Source organism: Homo sapiens, chromosome 12 (assembly GCF_000001405.40).
Source record: "Homo sapiens chromosome 12, GRCh38.p14 Primary Assembly".
NCBI classification, from domain to species: domain Eukaryota; kingdom Metazoa; phylum Chordata; class Mammalia; order Primates; family Hominidae; genus Homo; species Homo sapiens.
This window is the reverse complement of record NC_000012.12, coordinates 18,607,263-18,633,698: the sequence shown is the minus strand read 5'-3', so window position 1 is coordinate 18,633,698 and position 26,436 is coordinate 18,607,263. Positions and strand designations below refer to the sequence as shown.

At 34.2% G+C, this 26,436-nt stretch overlaps 1 protein-coding gene across 14 annotated transcripts in view; it reads right to left on the bottom strand.

Moving 5' to 3' along the window:
• PIK3C2G (phosphatidylinositol-4-phosphate 3-kinase catalytic subunit type 2 gamma) overlaps window positions 1-26,436 on the bottom strand; it is a 483,857-nt gene that overhangs the window by 93,119 nt on the left and 364,302 nt on the right. For all 14 annotated transcript variants that reach the window (XM_047429007.1, XM_017019471.2, XM_047429008.1 and 11 more), the window contains one exon: window positions 24,070-24,164. In XM_047429007.1, the coding sequence (XP_047284963.1) occupies window positions 24,070-24,164 (95 nt within the window). The remainder of the gene's footprint in view (window positions 1-24,069; window positions 24,165-26,436) is intronic.

Sequence of the window (26,436 nt, the reverse complement as noted above, 5' to 3'; positions counted from 1 at the left end):
ATTGATCCTGACTAACAAGGGCAAATTGGACGACTACTGCACAATGGAACTAAGGAAGAGTACTTCTGGAGTACAGGCGATCATTTAGGGCAACTCTTAGTATTACCATGCCCTGCAATTAAGGTCAACAGAATACTACAACGACCACTCCAGGCAGGATCACTAACGGCCCAGACCCGTCTTGAAGGTTTGGGTTACCCTACCAGGTAAAGAAACATGACCAGCAGAGGTATATGCGGAAGGCAAATAGAATAAAGGATGGAAGTAGGTAGTTATAAATACCAACTACGACAATGTGACCAGTTACAGAGATGACTATTTTAAGTATCATGAGTATTTACTCTTTATTTTGTAATGAACACTTAGTACGTATAGCAAATATCTTTGTTTTCTTTCCTCTTTTATTCTCTTATGTAACATGTGTTTATGTATATATTTGTTACGTTATTTGTTATTACATCATACTTTATATTAATATCATAGTATTTAAGCATTATTCATTTTACATCATAGTATTTAAACAATGAAATATCAAGGAGAAGAGTAAACATCACTCAAGGACTTTACCTCTTTCTGAGGATGGCGTTAGCATGTTTTTGGTTGTATGGAGCACAGTTGTATCATGTTTGGCAGAATTATGACATTACTGTCTTTACTTGAAGAGTAAGGACTGTTAAGGAGATATATATGAGTGGCAAGTTGACAGGGAGTGAACTCGTGATGGTTAATTTAATGTGTCAACTTGACTCATTCACAGGATGCCCAGATATCAGGTTAAATATTATTTCAGATATCAGGTTAAATACAGGGTATGTCTGTGAGGGGGTTTCCAAAAGAGATCAGCATTTGAATCCAGAGACCCAGTAAAGTAGATTGTCATCCCCAGGGTGGGTGGGCATTAATCTAATGCATCAAATCCTGAATAGAATAAAAAAGTGAGAAAAAGATAATTTATTCTTCCTTCCTGTTTCAGCTGGGACAGCAGTCTCTTCTGGTCCTCTGGGACTTACACCATTTGTACTCCTGGTTCTTAGGCCTTCAGACTTTGACTGGATCTACACCACCAGTTTAGTTTTTGTGAATCTTCAGTTTGTGGACAGCCAATTGTGAGACTGCTGCAACTCCATATGTCCATAAGCCAATTCCTCATGATCAATCTCTTTATGTCTATATTGATGCTTATGACTATGTCTGTATCCATATCTGTTTTCTATATCTCTATCTGTGTCCATATCTATACTTATTATTGGTTCTGTTTTTCTGGTGAACCCTAATACAGCAGGTATCTTAACTTTTCATTGGATGTTTCCTCATCTGCTAAATGAGGATAAAAATAATGCCTATCATGGGATTTTAAAGATTAAATAATATACCATGTAATGTGAGGACAGTACTTAAGCAGTAAGGCTGAATAAACATTGATATTATTTTTATTTCCTAGGAATTAAACATGAATATACTGTATGTACTGATTGGATAAGGTATCTCCAATGTATTATGACATTTATGTAGAGCAGGGTTTCTTAGTCTTGGCACTATTGACTCTTTGGGACAGATAATTCTTTTAATTCTTTGTTGCAGCGGGCTGTTCTGTGCACCATAGGATATTTTCACAGTGTCCCTGGTCTCCACCTACTAGATGCCAGTACCATCATCCTCCCAGTTGTGACAACTGAAAATGTATTCAAACATCATTAAATGTCACCCAGGATACAAAACTGACCCCAGTGGGGAACACTGATGTAGATGACTCCCAAATAAGAATCTCTAGTTGATCCCTAGGATCCCAGCCTAGAGATCTGTGAATATTTCCATCTGGATGTCTTCTTAGCATTCTTACACTCAATAAACTTCAATCTGAATCTATCTTCTATTCCTCCTCACTGTTCCAAAACAGATTTTCCCAACAAATTAGACTTTGTTAGTACTGCTACTCAGTTTTCCTGGTGCCCCCCTCATCCTTGATTTTCAAATCCACTATGTACCAAGATCGAACACCTTCTTTTTCGCTTTGGTTCATCTGCCACCACATATCTTTATTCCCTGACTTATTATAACTGGATTTTAATACTTTTTAGTCTTCTAATTTTCCCACCCTTTTCCTTCATTCATTCTATATACCACTGGTGTACTGAATCTTCCCATAAGACTGCTTTGATTACGTCACTTTCCTTCTCTGAACATTCGAGGATTCCCCATTGTATGAAGAATAAACTCCACATTACAGAAGAAGAAAATCCATTTGTATAGAGCCTTTTCCCAGCATTAAGTAACACTCAAGGTTTGGGCTTCTATTTCTAAGTTATTAGTGTCTTTGACGAGGTCCTTGAATATTGTGAAGTTTTTAGAATGATAGAACAGCACAGGTTTTAGTTGAAGTCGGGAGTGCATTAGATGTAAGCAGCAGGCTTAGTTTGTCCTTTAACAGCTTAAAACACAGACATTGATTTTTCAAATCTTTAAGAGAAACTTCTCTTCCCCCCAATGTTGTTGTCTTATCAACAGTAATTTGTTTTTCTTCTTACTAGCATCGTATCCTCTTCCTTCAAAGTCTCAAATAATTTATTAAAGAAATCACTAGCTGTCTCCTCATCAATACTTCTCATTTCATCCTTTGCCCTTATGATTTAATTATGCAAATTAAATTTTACTTTAAAATGATTAAATAACCACTACTTGTCTAAATGTCTTACACTGCAATTTTTTTTTTTAAACTCTGGCTGCATTTTAGACCTTCACAAAGACTTAACACTCCCCTGAAGAATGATTAGGGTTAGAGATACAGAATTCTCAGTCTGATCCTCAATATAAGCAATGAGAAGTTTCCTTATGTCATCTAGAGGACTTCCTTACTCATGGTAGGTTGAAATAAAGTAACAGTACTCTTTTCTTTTAGAATTCCAGGTAATAATATTACTGTGCTCAGAAGGTAATATGAAGTCATCTAACTTTAATTCTTTTTGCTCATACCAACTGAATTTTATATAGTCTAGATTTGCTGTTAAAACATAATTTTTCAGTGTTTTAAAAATAGTTTGATATGTATGTCATCTTCCTCATGAGGTACAAAATTATTTAAAGGGAAGGTCTATGTTTTGTTCCACTTCTTCCCCGACTCCACATTCCCTTGGGGCTTTGCTCCATTGGTTATTCACTACCCTACTACCCTAACCCCATCCTAGACCCTTCTTTCTAAGCTGTCAATATATTTCTAAATCTTCAATTAAAATTTAAAAGTTTTTGCTTGGAATCAGGCTTCCTTTCATCTTATTCTTTTGTTGTTTTTGTTTTTGTTTATTTTGTTTTTGAGAAAAAATCCCGCTCTGTTACCCGGGCTGGGGTGCAGTGGCATGATCTCGGCTCACTGCAACCTCCCTCTCCCAGGTTTGAGTGATTCTCCTGCCTCAGCCTCCCAAGTAGCTGAAACTATAGGCATGAGTCACTATGTCTGGCTAATTTATTATATTTTTAGTAGAGACAGGGTTTCACCATGTTGGCCAGGCTGGTGTCAAATTCCTGACCTCAAGGAATCTGCCTGGGATTATAGGTATGAGCCACCGCACCTGGCCCCCTTCATCTTATTCTTTACTTTCATAGTCATGCCTTCCCTTCATAATGTTCCTTTCTTTTATAGCAAATCCTTTCCTTAACACAGTGCTTGGTAGAGGGTGGATACTAAATAGTTATTAAATGACTGAGTCAATGAGGTGTGTATTAATAATATTTAGCTCTTTGAAAGTACTTCAGAGTTATTTGTTGAATCATCATTTGTAATGTAATATAAAAAAGATATTTAATTGAAATAGTTCCTGTTATCTATTGCAATATTTCTTATTGTAATACCAAGGAATAAAATGTCTATCATAGGGTAAAGTGAAAATATCTCGGGTTTATCCTAGGTGTTTACCCTAAACAGCTAGCCATCTGAAGGCATGTCTCTGATAGAAGTGACTTTCTCCTGCACATCATTTGGATTTTGTGGCTAATCAGGAGTAATCATGTCAAAGTCTGCTTGTCTCAATGCTCCACTTCTAAACTTTTGGCCTTATCCTATCTCTGAGTCAATATTAGGCAATTACACGCCAACTACCCTTCTTTATCCCCTCTACTCCCAACTGGAGCCAGACTTTATTTGTAACAGCATTATTCAAACTTAGTCCCAGAATTAATCCTTAGTCACCATCCTCCTCACTTTCTTTTAGAGACTTCATCTCTAATTGTGTTCCTTCCTTGGGGCCTTGTTTACTCCTCTGTGATATGCCTCATCACCTCTCCGGGTTTCTCCACCTTAACTCCTTGAAAATCTAGGCAATGAGCACAAGAAGTTCTTAAAATCTCCTAGGAGCTGATGATGACCTGACCATTTCTTAGGGACCTTGTAGGCAGAGACTGTGAGCTAAAGTTACATTTTTGTGCTGTATTCCTGTGCCCTCTCTCATATCTGTGCAAGTTCTCCCTCTCTGTTGTGCAGTACAAGGAAGAAACAAAAGAAAATCAGCACATTCCTTTGCTCTGGTGATATTAAGTTATTCAAAATTTATTGGAGAGGCATCGTATGGTGACCCATGGTTAGGCCAGGGGGCTGGATCCATGTTAACACCAAACATTCTCCACAGAGGGAATTAATACATTTCACTCAAGTTTGCTATTATTTTGTCAAATATATGTAAATGCTCTTGTTACCACAATTTTAATATTTTTAAAAGCACTGCTACATTTATAGTGGTTTTAAAAATTATTTTATATTTCTTAAATTATCAGATTATTTTTTCAGAGATGGGGTCTCACTACATTGCCTCAGCTGGCTTCCAACTCTCTGGCTCAAAAAATCCTCCTGCCTCAGCCTCCCAAGTAGCTGGAACTACCATGCCACTGTGCCCAGATAAATTATAAGATATTAAAAAGATTTCAGGGACACTTGATAGATAATTTTCTCTAAGTTTAAAAAGGTGTCCCACTACTTGGAAAGATTGGAAATGAAGACCTTAGGATCTTCTTAGAATTCACTAGTGAGGATACTTCTTTCTCAACTGAAGAGAGGAATACAGGGGATTCTTAGCTTAGTTATTATTTCAGGTTGCAAAACTTAAAATCTATGATGCATATTAGTAATTCTTTGTTCACAATGTTGACCTCTAAATGGTATTGTTTTAAGTACATGAATAATTAAATATACCAATCTTCTGCCTTTGTTTCTTGCCCCAGATTGCATATAGCATTTCAAATGGCTTTCAATGCTACTATTGTTCTTATCACCAACAAATTAAAATTATCTTAAAAACATGGGTAATATATCAAAACAGAAAAAAAGCAGTAGCATGTTAGTACAAAAACAAAGCACATTTTAAACTGTTTATAAAGTAAGTGAAACATCTAATATTATGGGGTATGCCAGCAACTCTTCAGTATTTTCATATGTGTATATGGGGAAAATATTTATTTTGCACTCATAGTAATAATAACAATAATAATAGCTATTACATAATGACTATTTACTATATTTAAAGAACTCTATTAAAATAATCCTCAGGCCAGGATTATCAGCTTCAGTTTATTGAGGAGGTTTTTCTATATAACCTATGTTCCTAATCACGATCCTATATTGATTCACTACAAAGAAAGACCAAGAAAGAAAGAGCACTTCTAGATCAAGTTTTACCAGGAATGTGATGAAGATACAGACGTGGTTTAAAAATATCAGATGCATTGGAAACTTCTGTAGATTAATCTAAGGCTTAATTGTATTTAATAGGTTATTATCTTTTCAATGAATAATTTATGAGAATTTTTCATCTTTTCTTTAGCTTAAATGTCTCCAATCATAGGATAATATAAGCTTTAGTGGAAATCAACTGATGATTAAAATATGATGGAACTATCAAAACCTGAGGTCTATACCAGAAACAAAACAACATAATATAAAAGCATTTTCTCATCTATGTGCCTGTCACATTGCAGTTTTTAAATTCAGGTTAGCCATCATGAAAAGGGTCTGTTTATAAAATAATAGTGTATAATAAAAGCACTTGCGATATGATTTGTTTTTGTGCCTCAGTTAAATGGTAGAATGAATAATGGCTGAGGAGTGATGTCAGCAAGATGGGGCAGAATAGGAGGTCACCTACTTATATCTCCTTACAACAAGAATTCTGCACCCATCCACAGGTCTATCTCTGTCAAAGAACACTTGTAAAGGCCAGAAAAGGTGGCTGCCTCCACAAATGCACAAACACCAATGCAAGGACACAGGTTTACAAAAACTCAAGGAATCATGGCATCTCAAAAAGAAACCAAAAATGCTCCAGCAATGACGCCCAAAGAAAGGGATATCTAAGAAATGACAGAAAAATAATTCAGAATAACTCCGTAAAATAATTCAATGAACTCCAAGAATATATGGGCAAAAAGTAAAATTTGGAAAACAGTACTTGAACAAAATGAGAAGTTTGAGAAAGAAATAGAAATGATTTTAAAACCCCAAAAATAAATCATAGAGAAGAAGAATATAATGACTGAACTGAAAAAATGCAATAGAAATTTTCAACAGCCAGTGAAATCACACTGAAGAATCAGTGAGTGTGAAGACAGAACATTTGAAATTATCCAAGCAGAGGAGCAAAAAGAAAAAAAAAATGGAAGAAGGAAAATTTATGGGAATGTTGGTACACCATCAAGAGACCCAAGCCATGAGTAAAAGGAATTAAATACAGAGAGGAGGAATACAAGGGTCACAAAGCATATTTAAAGAAATAATGGATGATAAGTTCCCTAATATGACCAAAAAAGCTAACATCCAAATATAGGAACCACAGAAATCTCCAATCAAATTCAGAATTCAACACAACATATAAGAATCAAACTATTAAAAAAATCAAAGAAAAAATTCTGAGAGCAGCAAAAGGAGTCCCAATACAACTACCAGCAAACTTCTTAGCAGAAACCCTTCAGTCCAGGAGAGAGAGTGGGATGATATAGTAGAAGTGCTGAAAGAAGAAAAAGCCTACCAACCAAGACTATTTTACCCAGAAAATCTGTCTTTCAAAAATAAGGAAGAAATAAAAACTTTCCCAGACAAACCATGCCATGGGAGTTAATCATCATTAGGCTTGCATTACAGAAATTATTAAAGGGAGTTCTTTAAACTGAAAGAAAAATTTGTTAGCTAATAACATGAAACTTATGAAATCATGAAATCTAATGGTATAAATAATACCGAACAACATTCAGAACACTCTTAAGACTATAACGGTGGTGTGTAAAGTAATATTATCCCAGGCACAAAGACAAAATTATTAATAAGAACTATAGCTAAAATAAACTGTCAAGGAATACATATTACAAAATAATATATATTCAGACATAAAAAACATAAAATGGTGTGTGAGGAGAAAAGTATAGAGTTGTTGTATGCAATGAAAGTTACATTGTTATTGGCTTGAAATAGACTGTTGTAAGCGAAAGATATTATTTGTAAGCATCAGGGTAACCAAGGAGAAAAAATCTATAGAAAATGCACAAAACACAAATAAAAATATTGAAAACATACTACTACAGAAAACCATCAATCCACAAAGAAAGACAGCAACAGAGGAAGAAAAAAACCAAGTATCTACACATAAATAAAACAATACAGTTAGTAACAAAATGATACTAGTAAGTCTTTACCTGTCAATACTTACTTTGAATGTAAATGTATTAAATTCTTTAATAAAAGATACAAAGTGAGGTAATGGATAAAAAAATACAGGATCTAACTATATGCTGTCTGCAAGACGTTCACTTCACTTTTAAGGACACACAGACTAAAAGTGAGGGGATGAAAAACAATAGTCTGTGAAAACTGAAACCAAAAAAGAGCAGGGGTAGCAATACTTATATCAGACAAAATAGACTTTAAATAAAAAACTGCAAAAAGAGACAAAGACATTGTATAATGGTAAAGGGGTCAATTCATCAAGAGGGCATAGCACTTTTAAATATATATGCTTCTAACAGTGGAAGAGCTATATGTATAAAGCAAATATTAAAGTTTCTGAAGGGATAGATTCTTCTCAATACAATAATGGTAGGGAACTTCGATACATCACTTTCACTAGTGGACAGATCATCCATACAGAAAATTAATAAGGAAACACTGAATTTGAACAACACTTTAGACCAAAAGGACGCAATGGATGTATCTGGAACATTCCATCCAACAGCAACATAATAAAGTTTTCTCTTAAGCACACACAGAATATTCTTCAGGACAGATCATATGTTAGGCCGTAATAAAAGTCTTAGAAAAATTAGGAAGATTGAAATCACAGCAAGTACCTTTTCTAACCACAATGATATGTGAGTAGAAATCAGTAACAGGAGGAATTTTAGAAAATTAACACATAAATAGAAATTAAACCACACACCCCTGAACAGCCAATAGGTCAATGAAGAAATTAAAAGGGAAATTAAAAAATACCTTAAGACAAGGAAAAATGAAAACATAACATAACAAAACATGAGATACAGCAAAAACAGGTCTAAAAACAAAGTTTGTAACAATAAATGCCAATATCAAATAAGAACAAAACTTGCAAATAAACAATTTAATGTTGTGCTTCAAGGAAATAGAAAAAGCAAACAAATTAAGCCCAATGTTAGCAGAAGAAATAATAAAGAACAGAGCAGAAATAGATGAGACTACAAAAACAAAACAAAGATCAACAAAACTCAGAGTTTGGCTTTTAAAAAGATAAACAAAATCAACAAACCTGTAGTTAAACTAAGCAGGAGAAAAAGAGAGGACTCAAATTAAAATCAGAAATTAAAAAAGTGCTATTACAACTGGCACCAAAAGAATACAAAAGATCACAAGAGACTATTACAGAGAGTTGTATGCCAAAATATTGGATAACCTAGAAGAAATGGGTTAATTCTTAGACACATATACCTATGAAGACTGAATCATGAAGAAATAGAAAATCTGAATAGTTCATTAATGAGAGAAGAGATTGAAGCAGTAATAAAAAGTCTCTCCTCAAAAAAAAGCCCAGGACCTGATGCCTTCACTGCTGTATTCTATCAAATATTTAATGAAGAAATAATACCAATTTGCCACAAACTTTGCCAAAAAAATTGATGAGGAAGAAATACTTCCAAACTCTTTTTACAAGACCAGCATTACCCTTACAATATAGGGAGAGAAGAAAATCACAAGAAAAGAAAACTACAGGCCAATAGTCTTCACAAACATATTAATAGACATGAAAATCCTCAACAAAATACTAGCAAATCAAATTCAATAACACATTAAAAGGATCATTGACGACGAACAAGTGGGATTTATCCCTGAGATGCAAGGATGATTCTACATATGCAAATCAATTAATGTGATACATTGCATTAACTGAATGAAGGACCAAAATCATGTAATCATCTCACTAGAAAAAAAGCAGCATTTAATTAAATTCAACATTCTTTTATGATAAAAACTTTCAAGAAATTTGGTATGGAAAGAATGTATCTCAGCACAATTAAGGCCATATATGACAAACCCATAGCTAACATCATACTCAATGGGGAAAATGAAAGCTTTTCCTCTAAAATCTAGAGCAGGAAAAGGATGCCTACTCTAACCACTTCTATTCAATATAGCACTAGAGTATCCATCCTGAGCAATTAGAAAGGAGAAAGAAAGAAAAGTCATCAAAACTGGAAAAGAAGAAGTTAAATCATCTTTGTTTGCAGATGGCATGATTTTATATATAGATAACTCAAAAGATTCCACCAAAAAACTGTTAGAACTGATAAATGAATTCAGCGAAGTTGTAGGGTACAAAATCAACATGTAAAAATCAGTAGCAATTCTCTAGACTAACAATGAACTTTCCAAAAAGGATATCAAGAGAATAATTCCATTTGCAATAGCTACAAAAAATATTTAGGAACAAATTTAACAAAGGAGGCAAAAGACCTGTACACTGAAAAATATAAAACATTAATGGAAAAAATTTGAAGAAAACACAAATACGTGGAAAGATAGCCTGTATTCATGGATTGGAATAATTAATATTCTTAAAATGTCCATATTTCCTAAAAGTGATCTACAGATTCAGTGCAAACACTATCAGAATTCCAAATTCATCTCTCATAGATATAGAAAAAAAGGAATCCTAAAATTCACGTGGAACCACAAAAAACTCCAAATTGCCAAGGCCATCATGAGCAAAAAGAACAAACCCTGAGGCATCATACTACCTGATTTCAAACTATACAACAAAATGATAGTAATTAAACAGCTAGTACTGGCGTACAAATAAATATATCAACCCAATGGAACAGATTAGAGAGCCCAAGAACCCCCACATGTACAGTCAATTGATCAACAAGAGTGACAATAACATACGATGAGAAAAGGACAGCCTCTATAATTAATGGTGTTGGAAAAATTGGGTATTCATATGCAAAAGAATAAAATTGAACCCTTATCTCACACCATACATAAAAATCAACTCAAAATGAGTTAAAGACTTAAATATAAGATCTTAAACTGTAAAACTATGAGAAGAAAAGTCAGAGAAAAATCTACATGACATTGGTCTGAGCAATGATTTTTTAGATTTGATCCCATAGCACAGACAACAAATGCAAAGATAGACAAATGGGATTACATCAAAATGAAAAGCTTCTGCACAGCAAAAGAAACAATAAACAACGCAAAGAGACAACCTATAGAATGGAAAAAATATTTGCAAGTCATATATCTGATAAGGAATTAATATCCAAATTATATAAGGAACTCAACTCTATAGAAAGAAAACAATTCAATTAAGAAGTGGGTCAAGAAACCCAGATAGACATACTTCAAAAGAAGACCTATGAATGGCTAACAGATACATGAAAAAAATGCTCAACATCACTAATTATTAGGCAGATGCATTAAAATCACAATGAGATATCACCTTACACCTGTTAGAATAGCTATTATCAAAAAGACAAAAGACAATTATCGACAAGAATGTGGAGAAAAGGGAACCCTTGTCACTGTCAGTGGGAATGTAAATTAGTACAACCATTTTTAAAAACAGTATGGAAGTTCCTCAGAAACTAAAAACAAGATTGCCATATAAGCCAGCAACCCCATTTCTGGGCATTTACATGAAATATTTGAAACCGGTATGTTGAAAAGATGTCTGCACTGCCATATTTATTGCAGCACTATTCACAATAGCTATATTATGAAATCAACCCAAGTGTCCATCAAGTAATGAATGGATAAAGAAAATGTGGTGTTTGTGTACAATGGAATATTATTAAACCTCAAAAGAAAAGAAATTCTGTCATTTACAATAACATGAATAGAACTGGAGAATATTACGCTAAGTAAAATAAGCCAAACACAGGAAGACAGATACTGCATGTTCTCACTTATATGTGGAATCTAAAACAATTGAACTCATAGAAACAGAGAGTAGAATGGCAGTTAACAAAGGCTAGAGGTGTGGGAAATGGGGAAATGATAGTCAAAGGTTACAAAGCCTAGTTAGACAAGAGAAATATGGGTATTTTTGAGATCAATAGCACAGCATGCTGAATATCACTAATAATTGAGTATTGTACATTTCAGTATCACTAAGAGCAAATTTCTAATGTTTTAATTACAAATAGTTAAATATTTGAGGTGATATATGTTAATTAGCTTAATTTAATCATTCCACGTTGTATTAAAAAATCATAATATCACTTTTGTATTTATGTCCCCCATACATATATACAATTATAATTTGTCAATATCCAATATAAAATAAATGGTAGAATAATCTTTCCAACGTGTGTGTGTGTGTTGATTGTTAATATAAAGGTGGAATAATTTCAGGTCTTTATGAATTAAATTAGCACGGTCTCGTACTTCATTTCACATCAGTTTAAGCCAGTAACAAGAATCTTATGATAAATAGGTGATTTTCAATAATTATTTTCTAAAAATAAGTTTAAAAATCTAACCACCGTGTGTCTAGCACTTTGCATGATTGTAAGAGAGCACAAAAAGGAGATCAGAATAGCTTCTGCCTTCAAAGAAATAACAAATTCACTAGTATAATAATCTTGTTATATACATATATGTTAATAACATATATATAAAACATGTTATACACATGTATGTTAATAACATATATATATAAAACATGTTATACATATTTAATCTTTGACTTGACGAAGTTATCAACTGGACAGAAGTCACAGTCTAGTAGATATAATTCTTTTTCTAACTCAATACATGCAAACTAAATTTCTTCTAAAAATTCAGAATTCTAATTAGATCCCAGATTTTGTCACTGAAGTGTCTTCTGAAGTTGGGCAAGTTTTTCTATTTCTCTATTTTAATAACATGTAGAAGTAAGGTTTTAAACTTCACTTATTTTTTAGAATGTACTAAATACCAAATGCTGATGAGTTGTTTATGAGCTAACAGGCAATTGAACTCTTTGTTTTTCTTTTCTGTTTTTTGTTTTTTTTTCAAATTGCTTTGAACTGCCTTAAATGATTCCAAACTTCCTGACACTCAGCCTCTATTCCCAGATGCTGAAAAAAATTGTACAAACAAGAGAAGATGAACTATCCATTGTTAGTGGTTATTGAGAAACTATACAAAACAGATAAAATACTGGAAGATTAAGTTCATATGTTTTTCTTACTACAGGGAGAAGACAGATTGAAAAAGAAGAACTTACTAATTTAGAGGTAAAATATAAGCATTTTCTACCTATATACCTTAGATACTTATCTTTATCCTGTACCACTAAACAGTTTTTATCATGGTTTAAAGAAATATATAGGTATGCAACGTGAACGTGTCAATAACCTGAGAATGAATGTGTCAATAATGTGAATATGCTGGATTAAATAACCAGGATTAAGAGGGACTGGAATGATGAATTGTATCCAACAAGGTTAAAAAGGATAGATTGAAGATAGATTGAATGTCAGTTTCTTCTTTTGGGTGTAGAAAACTCACTTTGCAAATTCAGAATATAAAAAAAAAAGTTGGCTTAGCAATAGCACTTGGGAAAGTTTAAAGAGTTATGGATGAGTATAGGTTCAATACATTTGTATGCCAGGGATTACTAGCTGCACCCTACAGTATGGTTACCTATCTATCTATCTATCTATCTATCTATCTATCTATCTATCTGTCTGTCTAATCATTTATCTATCTGTCATATGCACAAGAAGCCCACTTTAAATGTAAAGACACAAATAGGTTAAGAATAAAAGAATAGAAAAGCTATACCATGCTAATATTAATCAAAAGAAAGCTGAATTATCTATATAACCACCTGGAAAAGTATTTTTGAGGGCAAAAAATACTACTAGAAATAAAGATGTTCATTTTATAATGATGACAGGGTTAATTAATCAAGAGGACACAATCTTAAATTTGTATGCAACATTATACAAATTAAAAATTAGAGAGATTTTAATACCTTTCTCTTAATTATTCGTAGAACTAGTATACAGATAATTAGTAAGGCTATAAAAGACCTGAACAACATAATCAATGTGACTTAATTGACTTTCATAGACCCCTCCGTTTAACAGGAGAACTCATATCCTTCTCAATTGGACATGGGATATTTACCAAATGTGTCATGCCTGGGACATAAAACAAGTTTCAATATATTTTAAAAAATTAAGGGGCTGGACGCGGTGGCTCATGCCTGTAATCCCAGCACTTTGGGAGGCCGTGGTGGGCGGATCACGAGGTCAGGAGATGGAGAACATCCTGGCTAACATGGTGAAACCCTGTCTCTACTAAAAATACAATAAATTAACCGGGAGTGGTGGTGGACGCCTGTAGTCCCAGCTACTCGGGAGGCTGAGGCAGAAGAATGGCGTGAACCCGGGAGGCGGAGCTTGCAGTGAGCCGAGATCGCGCCACTATGGAGTGAGACTCCATCTCAAAAAAAAAAAAAAAAAATTAAAATCATACGAAGTATGTTCTTTGACCATAATGTAATTATTAGATATTAATAACAGATACATCTCTGGAAATTTTCCAAATACTTGAAAGTGAAACAGCATGTGTCTGAATAATCCAAAGACAAAGAAAAAATCAAAAGGGAAATTAGAAGAATTATAAACTGAAAGAAAATGAAAATATACCATACCAAAATTTTGGGGATACAGCTAAAGCATTACTCAGAAAAAAATTATAACACTAATTACCTATGTGATAAAAGATGAAACATCTCAAATTGGCCTTAGCTTCCGTCTTAAGAAATTAGAATGAGATTAAAATCTTTAGCTTTTTTTGTTTGTTTGTAGAGTTTGTCTGCTTGGGGCAAATTCTTTGTGTTTTTTTATTAGAATATGTATTTCTTTCTCCTTTGCTGCAGAGGATATTTTCTCTGGTGATAGAATTCCAAACTGACAGTTCTTTCCATTTTTGCCGACATTTTAAAGACGTTCCACTGTCTTCTACCTTCTGCTGTTTCTCCATAGTCTCCAGACTACATTATTTCACTATTCCTCCATATACCATATGTTGTTTTTCTCTGTTTCAAGATATTTTTAGATTGTTTTTAGTTTTCAGCAGTTTTATTACAATGTGTAATATATAATTAAATAATATATAATATAATTAAATTTATGTCTTTCACTAAGTTTCTGGCTATCAATTCTTCAAATATTTTTCTGCCCCAACCTCTTTCTTCTGTCTTTCTTGGATTCCAAAGGCACAAATGTAAGATCTTTAGATATTTTCCAACAGACTCCCAATCTTCTGTTCTCTTTTATTTCAATCTTTTTTCCTCTACGTTCTGTAGCTTGGATAATTTCTATGAGTCTATCTTCAAGTTCACTGTCATCTTCATTCTTCTCTTGAGTCCATCCAGCAAGATTTATCATTTTAGGTATTTTATTTTTCAGTCTTTAAATGTACATTTGTTTTGTGATTTTTATTTCTTGCCAATAATTTCTAACATTTCATTGATTTCAAGTGTGTTTTTTTCTTACCTCATGGAGGATAGTTATTATAGCTGCTTCAAAATATTGCCCAACAGCTCCAAAATCTGGATCATTTCAGAGTGTATCTATTGTCTTTTCAACTGAGGATTGTTCGTATTTTCCTGGGTATTATATAAGCAATTTGAGTTGTATTGTGGATATTTTTAATGTTATGTTGTGGAAACTCTGTGCTGTTTAATCTTCTGGAGAAAGTTGACATTTTAAAGTAGGCAATCAATCTAGTTATATTAGGAATATAAATTCTGTTCTAACTTTTGTTTTTAGGTGTTCAAATCTCAGTTAAATTTGCAAAGGCTTTTTTGTTCTGATATAAGTCTGTCCTGCTCAATAGCAGCTCAGGGATTAGGCTGAGAATTGTGTAGATTTATATACAGAGTTAGTGCATACCCTTCTGTCTTTTATCGGGGACTTTCCTATAGTCTCTGGCAAACACAGGCCACGTTTCTTGGTTCTTTCAGTCAGAAACACAAAGTTTCTGTTGGAGATTTTGCTGTCAAAGCTGCCACTACCATCTTGCTTCTCTGCAACTAGGGTCCACCCTCAGGGCACAGCTCTACAGGTACATAAGTTAAAAAAGAAAAAAAAAAGTAGAGAAAACGTCCTTATGTGGGTAAAATCTCCAAGTTCTGATTTCCTTTCACAATTTGCCTCCTTTTGTTTATTATTAAGGTGTCTTATATAGTTTTAAAAAATATATTTTCATAAATTATAGTTGTAATCAGTAGGTGGGATGGGCTGTGGTGGTCTTATGCCACATGCCACAACTGGAAGAGCTAATTTTAATTCTCAGCACATACATAATAGCCTACTATAATCAGCCTGTCAGAGGTTTCACATTACACCTAATATCTTTTGCTCTTTATCCTCTTTCATTTAGCTAGGTAATGTCTCCGCTATAGAGGGTTTGCCAAGTACAATGTAGCCACTATCTTTGGGGATATTTCCTGGGTACATAAGAAGATGCTCAGGTCTCTGGCTGGAAACTGTTTTTGATGAGCCAGGCAAACATTTGAAGAGTCTTTCTGGGCAGTATCTGGCAAGAACAGGTATAGCCTAGAGGTACATAGCAGAAAAATAGACTGCTAATGCTATAATACAATCTAGAATCAAAAATAAGGGCTCATAATTGTGAAGGCTTTAGATTTCAGCCCTTAGTTATGAGATCTTGGAAAAATATTTAAACTTGCTGAATTTCAGTTTACTATTTTGTGAATATGCATACAAAATTTTCTCTCTTTTGGTGAAACATGTATAAAAGTGACAGTTCTTGGCATACATGGTATAGGCAAAAAAGCTTTTCATGATATTGATAGAAAGCGAGTGAAACTGAAGACAAAAAACCTGGAAAAGTCAGAGAGTCTATAGTTCCTATGTAAGTCACGCAGCAAGGAAGGAATGTATCACGTGTTTATTTGCAGGATTCCAATGAGTTGAATGATAGGTGACACTTTTATTGAGGTAATCTCTCTGTATGCACACTTACAAATTTTTTATAAGGACAAATAACTGAGATAGGTGGTCAGTTACAGGTAGACTGCTTCCTCAGATGGCAAAAATCTCCCCTGAAGGAATACAGAAGCATAAAGCAGGAGAAAGAAGATTCTGCCACTCAGTAAGCTAAAGGGATGAGATAAAAGACTTGAATGTTTTTGGCAAAATGAAGGCCTTATCTGCATTAGATTAGAGTTTTAATTCAGGAATTGCGTGACTGCCAGCATTTACATTTTAATATTTGCTGTTAATAAAAAGTATTTTAACTACTGGATAAAAATAAAATTTTTAAATCTCTGGAAATTATTTAATCCATTTTGTATTTTTTGCATATTCAAAATATAGTTCTAATGAAATGACTCTTTTAAAACAATTTTATAAAACAAAAATTTTCAGCTTTTTGCTATTCTCTTTAGGTATGTACTTGTTCATCAATCTTTAAAGTTCTTTATTGCTTCTTTTGTAGGTTAGAACTTTTTTAGGTCAGAATGTAAAACTGAGGGAGATTTAGAGAAAGGGCAGAGATTACGGTACAAGACTGTCAGAAAAGAACAGAGAGAGAATAAATGAAATTTTAGTCATGTGGCGACATATCCATTGATGGCTATGTCATCTGGAGAGAAGGAAAGTGTTCAGGGTTTTTGAACATTAAAAATAAAAGCCTTCAACAAGAATTCACTTTATTTTTAAGTGAGACGGATGTTAAGATCAAATATTTGACATTTGACCTTCCTTAGTTTAGTGTCAAGTATTAAAGGTAGCTGAATTCACAGATAAAAGCTATTGATTTATAAATATAGCTTAAGCTTTTCTGGATTGTGGATATTTTTCACATGATGTACACTTAAGCAAACATTTGCTTATTTAATAACTGTGTGTTAAGGGCATAATATTTTGCTAACCACTGTATTCAAAATATATTTTCCACAGTTTTTTATACTCAGCGAATTCTCAATACAATTGAAACTGCAGGATAAATTAAGATAATCCAAGTTTTAAGAGCTAAGTCAGTGAATATCAAATAGATGGTGTATATAGTAAAGTTTCCAAAGAAAAGAAAGGTCACTAGGAGCAGGAGTGACCCAGGAGCTTCAGGGAGGATGAGCAATTTGACCTAAGCCTAGAAGATTACATTGGATATAAACAGTAAATAGAAGGTAAATAGATGTATGACCTAGTCAGATAGAATGAGTGGTGTGTATTTAGTGAACAATGAATGATCCTTCTAGATATAATACAAATTTTGTGTTGAGAGGTGAATATTAGAGGTAGGTTATAGCTAGATTGTATAGTACTATAAGGTATTAAGCTAAGAAATTTCAAGTTTACAGAGACTCTGTTAAAATTTTTTATTGATATAGTAAAATGCAGTCTTAGAATGTTTTGTGCAGGAGAGAATTAGAGAAGAAAACAAGGAAAGGAATATTATAGCAGCCAATCAAAGTAACCCATAGATGAATCAATGGAGACTGTTGAATAGGATTTTGAGAATAATAAAAGTAATCTAAAAGAAACTAAAAGGATTTGTTGCTGATTATATATATGAGTAAAAGAATGAATTGAAATATAGAAAAAAAGTAGAGCTACCATTTGATCCAGCAATCTCACTACTGGGCACCTACCCAGAGGAAAAGAAGTCATTATATGAAAGACACTTGCACATGTATGTTTATTGCAGCACAATTTGCAATTGCAAAAATATGGAAACAGTCTAGATGCCCATCAACCAACAAGTGAAAAAAAATGATATATATATTTTAGGTATATATATATATACCACATTTAGGTGTGACCATTGAGTAATACTACCGTGATATATATATATACACATACACACACACACACACACACACACACACACACACACACACCGTGGAATACTACTCAGCCATAAAAACAAATGAAATAATGGCATTGGCAGAAACCTGCATGGAGCTGGAGATCATTATTTTAAGTGAAGCAACTCAGGAATGGGAAACTAAACATTTTATATTCTCATGTATAGGTGAGAGCTAAGCTATGAGGACACAAAGGAATAATAATGATATAATGAAATTTAGGGACTTGGGGGGAAGGGTGGGAAGTGGGTGAGAAATAAAAGACTACACATTGGGTACAGTGTACACTGCTTGGGTGACGAATTGCACCAAAATCTCAGAAATCACCACTAGGGAACTTTTCCATGCAGCCAAAAAGCACCTGTTCCCTAAAAAGCATTGAAATAATAAAAGAAAAGAAAAGAAAAGTAATTATAGAGAAGTTTTGATCAGGAATTACTTGATGATGGTGCAACAATTTATAGAAATAAGTAATTCAGAATGAAAGATGGTTTCAGTGGTAAGCAGAGGGCCATATTGTATAACTGTTCAGTTTAAAGAGATGGCAAGATATTGGACTGTAAATGCCCATCAGGCAGTTGGAAACATGTAAATGAAGGTCAGAGAAAGATTGAATGTAGAGATGTAAATTTAATAGTAATTCATATTATCTTTGAAGTTTCAAGACTGGATAAAATTTCTTAGGAAATTAGTTTCAAAAGTTAAAGCCCTGAATACTGGAAAATCTTCACATTTAAGAGCTAAGGGTAAAGCCAACATTTATTAAGCCACTACACATACATCTATCTTAAATTTACAAGAGCCAAGGAAGCCTCAGAAATAGTGCTGTCCAAGTAGTTTAGAGAATGTGCAGACACAATTAGCTTGGTGCCAATGTCCAGTGAAGTTTCATGAAAAAGCTGGTAACAAAATGTTCAAAAAGGAAGGGCTAGTTAAAGGTGTTTGTTAGCTGTTAGAAAGAGGTCACTGATAACAGGTTTTAGAACAATTAATGGTTTATTTCATTAAAAAATAATAGGTCATCTTTGAGGGTCAATGTTTCTTTGGCAAAAAAAGTCATGAAACACAGTAGAATATCCAGATCTGGACAGGTACTCTTCACTATCCTTTGCTTTGTATCTTATTCTTTGAAATGGTAGATCAATGTCAAAATGGGCCAACTCTGGAAGAACAATTTTCATTCACGGAATGAAGGAAAAACACATTTGATAAGACGATTGTTATTAGGAAATCATCCTTTATTTTAAAAATTGACATTTATTTAGATTGAAGTGCATCTAGGATGAAACAAAGACAAATTTCCTTTAAGAATCTAGATTTTAAAAAACAACAAAAAATTAAGACTATCAGAGGACTCAGCCAAGTTAATTTTAAAAAGATATGCAGAACATGTTGTTTTTATATGTCAAACATTGCCATTGTCTGTGCTTTATTTTCACAACCCTCAGTTGTTATCTTCACCAAGTCCAAGTGTTGTCTTTGTTCTACATCAAAGGCACCACAATTTACTTGGTGCCAAGTACCGAACTCACCACATTGTGTGTAGAGTGCCATTTGGGACATTAGGGTACTAGCCACTTGGGTTATTTTTTCAAAGTGGTCCATGAACCATTTGCACCAGAGAGGCTTCTGGAATGCTCATATTATGCAGCAGGAGAGAGGAAAGAAGTCTAGAAATGAAAGAGACGGTAGAGGAATCCATGGGACCAAGAGATGCCTGTATTGTGCAGATGCAGATAGCCCAATCTATACTTACAGAATCAAAATTACTAGGAGTGGCACCCAGAAATATGTATTTTAAAAACAAGGACCCCCAGGCTACACTCAGACACATTAAAAATGTAAAAGAAGAGTTTAAATAAAAAAATTAAAAGTAATACAGTTTTAGTGTGTGGGGGGGTTCTTGTGTTTGACTCTACTTCTCTCTCTCTCATGTTAATTTTCATATAGAAACTACTTTTCCCATCTTTTGTCTTATGAAAGGATTGAAGGTACCACCTTTGAGTTGTCTTCTATCTTTCCTGACATTTCTTGCTCCTTGTTCTAAGAGCCTAAGAAAGTGTGGGTAGATTCAATATCAGAAGAGAGTTTCATCCTATTGGTTATGTTTAGCACCTTCTGGAATGCGAACATTCTGGAGCAGGGAGAAGAGAGCAGCCTAGAAACTACACAGACTAGAAAAAAATCCATGAAGTCAGCATAAAATGCATGGAGAGACATTGTAGACATCAATGAAAGAGAGCATTTTAAGGACGGATACATGGAAAAGTGCTAGAGAGAGTTTTTAAAAATATTTCAAATCTAACTGTTCTTTATATGTTTCTTTGTCATATAAACTGAAATGGTGTTTTAGAAAATCATGGCCAAGCTTTTAAATACTTGCACTACTTCATCAGTCTCTGTGTGCTAGAGTGAATCATATTGTGATGCTTTGAAAGGGAAAGAATTTTAGCAATTTTATTTTAGTTTGTGATCTCACAGGAGGAAAGTAACTCTCAGAGCAAAGCTTCATAGATTTAATAAAAGATAAACAATACTTTTCATCAAACTTAACATTAAACATAACAGAACTCTAGGCATAATAATTCATTTTAATATTAATGTAAAATCCAGCACAATGTTAGTCTAATTATTTTGGTATGGGAACATACTAAAGGATCGACAAATAACAATTAGCTAAAACTTGAAATTAGCAAATAAAATATGTTGAGAATTTATAGATGGATTTTTATGTCATTTATAGTAGAAAGTTGTTTTAAGCAGAAGAAACAAAATAATCATTTAAAGGAAGCTGTGGAAAATGCAATGCATAACTTTGCTGTGATGATTTTTGGAAGATGAAAACATCCTAGTCCTTAGTTGTTCACATGAGAAGTAAGTCGACATTCTTTTATTTAACCAAGGCTTTACTGAGTACCTACTATATACTTGGCCCTATTCTATACACCTTGGGTTATAGCAGTGGCACAGGGGAGGAAAGAAAGTAGAAAAGAAAGGTTAAAAGTGACAACAAAGAGGAGCAGTGTTGTAGTTTTAAATTTGGGAGTCAGATAGGACTTTACTGAAAAGGTGAGAGTAAAATACAAGCATTCGGGACATGTGAGATTGAGCCACAGAGAATATTGATCCATGAGCTTGGGAAGAACATTCTAGGTAAATGGAGTAGCAGATACAAAGGTCCTGGGGCAGCAACATGCCTGCCATATTCAAGGAACAGCAAAGAAGGCACTGAGGCTGGCACGGAGTGACTGAGGGAGTCTGTGGCTGGAGATGAGGTTAAGAGGCCAAGAAGTGAAGATTGACAGGGTCTCACAGGTCATTAACAAGTACCTTGGCTTTCATTGCAACTGATATAAGACTCCTTCCGCAAAGGGATATGAAGAGAGGAATGACAGGATCTGACTTTTATTCTCAAAGGAACATTCAGGCTGCTAGATTAAAAAGAGATTATAAAGAAGGACAGAAGCAGGGACAACTGTTAAGAAACTATAGCAGTAATTCAAGTAAGAGATGCTGGTGACTTCAACCAAAAGTGGAAGCAGTGGAGGAGAAAGTTGGTGTGTTCTGGATTTATTTTGAAAGCAGAATGACAGAATTTGCTGGTAATATGGATGTAGCTTGTGGGGAAGGAGAGGAGTCAAAATGACTCTAGGTTTTTAACCTGAGTAACTAGAGAATGAAGGTGCTATTTACTGAGATGAAAAAGGTGGCAAACGATGTAGGTTTAGTGGGGCAGTCACGAGAATTTTGGTGCATATTGAGTCTGAGACACTTATTATACTTATACTAGAGTTGTTGATAGTCAGCTGTACATATAACTCTGGATTTCAGATGAGATTTCCAAGCTGGAATTGTAGATTTGGAAAAGAAAAACAAGTAAGTAATGTTTAAAGCCATGAGGCTTGAGGTAGAAAAAGGAGAGGCCTAGGATTGAATTTTAAGGCACTAAAATCTTTCAATGTTAAGAGATTAGGGAGAAGAGAGGAACTAGCAAGTAAACTGAGAAGGCAGACTGAAACAAGTATTACTACATCATTAGTAACTCTTTTTGAGAGCATTGGTATTATAGAGGTTCTCATGGCCCTAAGTGTTTTTTCACATTTTTTAGGGTCATTTGGTCATTTTCTATTTACCTATAACTTGATCTCAATCTGAAACTCTTGCTCTTTCCCATTCACTCCTCCTATCCCTGCTTCATGCTTGCATGACATTCACTTTGAAGATCTTCATTGGTACTGTAATTTCATCTGAGTGTAAAATGCATTTTTGAAAACTGTCAAAAGTAATTTGGTGATTCATCTGGTGAATGAAATGGATGACTAGGTTGGTTAATATCACTTCTGATCAAAAACTAGGAGTGACCATTGAGTAATATCACCAAGTTTACTGTGTGGTTTACATGCCCAGTCTAAAAGCAATTTCATCAGGTGTGCTCTAAAATGTTTTGAGCAATGATAACATTACTGGAATAAATATATCATTTCTAAAAGGACTATGTTCAAGACTAATTTTCATATATGAAGTACATATGTAAGTTCTGTTAACTTGATTAATATTTCTTAATATTCTATTGTTTTATCATATATGTTTATATAGTTGCTTAAAGTCCATCAACATGCATATAGCCATAAATAATGTCTAACTGAATCTTCATTTTGCAATGTAAGGGTTTCTTTAAAAACTGCTATTCTCATTTAAGATTGATTATCTAATGAAAAACAATGGAAAATAATTGTTTTAATTAGAAAAAGATTTGCAAGAAAATGTTAAAATATTTGCCCAGATACTACAAAAATTGCTGATAGTGAGCACCAGAGGTTTGCAAACACGCCTTCTTGGATGTCTGACTAATAATGAATTTGTAATGAACATATTCTCTTCAAATTATGCCAATTATTTGTTCACCAAACAAATATTTATTGTTTCAATATGTTATGGATGTGTGTCATATGGAGAAGAGTTTGCTCTTTTAGATCCTTCCAAAGGCATCCTCAGAGATTTATGTGCACAAAGAAGAGAGCAAAAATTGTGTTACTGACTTTCTCCACACCTGATATAGTCTCCTGGGAAGTTATACCACGTGGAGAACCCATTTTGTCTAGGCTCAAGGAAGATTAAAATAGTTGGTGAGGTTTCGTGTTTTCCTTCTATGTTTGCTGCACCCCAACTCGGGTCATTAGTCACTTATCCTGTGACACAGAATGCTTCCTCTCTTTCTTAATGATATGGCCCAGTTACCATCATTGCCTCTGACTTGCCCCAACCTTAAGTGGCATGTAATAGAGAGTGGAACTTTTAGTTTTCTTTGGAGGCTAACTACAGATTTTGTTCTAGGTTCTGGGATGGGGAAACGGAAACAAAGATGGGGTTTCCATTCTCAAAACACTATTATTTTTTGAGGAGAAGGAAATATGGGACCCAGCCTTTTTTCTTTTACCCTTCAATCCTCCAGCTAATCCTGCTTTTTCAGAGCCTTTTCCCTAGTCTTTTTCCTGACATTTTGAATAAAGTTTAATGTTCATTCTAGGACTTTCCTTGTGAAGTATTTTAGAGTCTTTACCCCAAGGATCACAATCATCCCGAGGCAAAAATATTGTAATTGGCTCATTGTTTCTTACTTAAACTTGGCGGAGATACCCATTCTTCTAGCTAATGTTGACACTAATTGCCCAAAGGAGGTAAGTGATTTCTGGATGTAGGCTTACATGTTTCTTATTATACATAATAAACTTACAATGTTTTTCATGTGTTTCACTAGTATGGTCAGCTTCACATCCTCGTAGGATATGACTAACTGCACCTTAGGCTTCTTGTCTGGAAACTTCTCACCTGATAAAAGAATAGAATTTCAGTGAGTTCAGTTGGAAAAAGCTCAGCACAGGAACAATCAAACATTTAAAAACTAAAACAGGACCAATAAATAACAAGTAGAAGAAACATTCTTCAGATAATGTTGAAGAATCTTAATGCTCTTCAGGAGGCAGTTGGTTACATAGAGATGGGATTTGTGTCTAATCTTTAACTAACTCTTCCCCTAATATTTCATATTTTGTTTTGATTGATACCATTATTTTCTCAACAACTTAAGCTTAAAACCTCAGTGCCATTTTTGGCTCCAATTTTCTCCTTAGCATTCACTATAATGAGCTTAAAGTATTAGAGGTCATAGAGATTAAAAGTGTGGCCTTTAGAAATCAGTGAACCTGGGGTTCAAGGCCCAGCACTACTATTCATGACTGTGTCATCATGACTAAATTAATCAACTTTATATAAAATGGAAATAATAGTTACTTTTTGAGATAGGTGGTTGAGATGATTAACTGATAAAATTCAAAAGTTGTCACGTAGTAAGTGGTCAATTTGCACTAATCTCTTTTTTCTCATCCCATAGCAGCTAATTCAAACTCATATAAACGTTTTGCCTAAACTACTAGGACATTCATTCACTCCTCCCACCCCCTGCACAGAATCCAAATCTATTTGTATACCATTACCAATGTAAGTTTCAGACGACAACTTTCATAAGATTATTTTTTGATCAAAATGCCTTTCAGAGATTTCCATTGCTTATGAAAAAAGGTCTAAATTTCTCAGCCTTGTATTGTAACTTCTTATTACTGTTTTATTTCCCACTTTTATTCTATACTTTTTTTATTATTATACTTTAAGTTTTAGGGTACATGTGCACAACGTGCAGGTTTGTTACATATATATACATGTGCCATGTTGGTGTGCTGCACCCATTAACTTGTCATTTAACATTAGGTATATCTCCTAATGCTATTCCTCCCCCCTCCCCCCACCCCACAACAGGCCCCAGTGTGTGATGCTCCCCTTCCTGTGTCCATGTGTTCTCATTGTTCAATTCCCACCTATGAGTGAGAACATGCAGTGTTTGGTCTTTTGTCCTTGCCATAGTTTGCTGAGAATGATGGTTTCCAGCTTCATCCATGTCCCTACAAAGGATATGAACTCATCATTTTTTATGGCTGCATAGTATTCCATGGTGTATATGTGCCACATTTTCTTAATCCAGTCTATCATTGTTGGACATTTGGGTTGGTTCTAAGTCTTTGCTATTGTGAATAGTGCCGCAATAAACATACGTGTGCATGTGTCTTTATAGCAGCATGATTTATAATCCTTTGGGTATATACCCAGTAATGGGATGGCTGGGTCTAATGGTATTTCTAGTTCTAGATCCTTGAGGAATCACCACACTGACTTCCACAATGGTTGAACCAGTTTATAGCCCACCAACAGTGTAAAAGTGTTCCTATTTCTCCACATCCTCCACATCCTCCACATCCTGTTGTTTCCTGACTTTTTAATGATGGCCATTCTAACTGGTGTGAGATGGTATCTCAGTGTGGTTTTGATTTGCATTTCTCTGATGGCCAGTGATGATGAGCATTTTTTCATGTGTCTTTTGGCTGCATAAATGTCTTCTTTTGAGAAGTGTCTTATTTATATTCTTCGCCCACTTGTTGATGGGGTTGTCTGTTTTTTTCTTGTAAATTTGTTTGAGTTCATTGTAGATTCTGGATACTAGCCCTTTGTCAGATGAGTAGATTGCAAAAATTTTCTCCCATTCTGTAGGTTGCCTGTTCACTCTGATGGTAGTTTCTTTTTCTGTGCAGAAGCTCTTTAGTTTAATTAGATCCCATTTGCCAATTTTGGCTTTTGTTGCCATTGTTTTTGGTGTTTTAGACATGAAGTCCTCGCCCATGCCTATGTCCTGAATGGTATTGCCTAGGTTTTCTTCTAGGGTTTTATGGTTTTAGGTCTAACATTTAAGTCTTTAATCCATCTTGAATTAATTTTTGTATAAGGTGTAAGGAAGGGATCCAGTTTCAGCTTTCTACATATGGCTAGCCAGTTTTCCCAGCACCATTTATTAAATAGGGAATCCTTTCCCCATTTCTTGTTTTTGTCAGGTTTGTCTAAGATCAGATAGTTGTAGATAAGCGGCATTATTTCTGAGGGCTCTGTTCTGTTCCATTGATCTATATCTCTGTTTTGGTACCAGTACCATGCTGTTTTGATTACTGTAGCTATTCTATACTTTCATTCGTATGTTTAGTTCTACAAACAGGCTCTA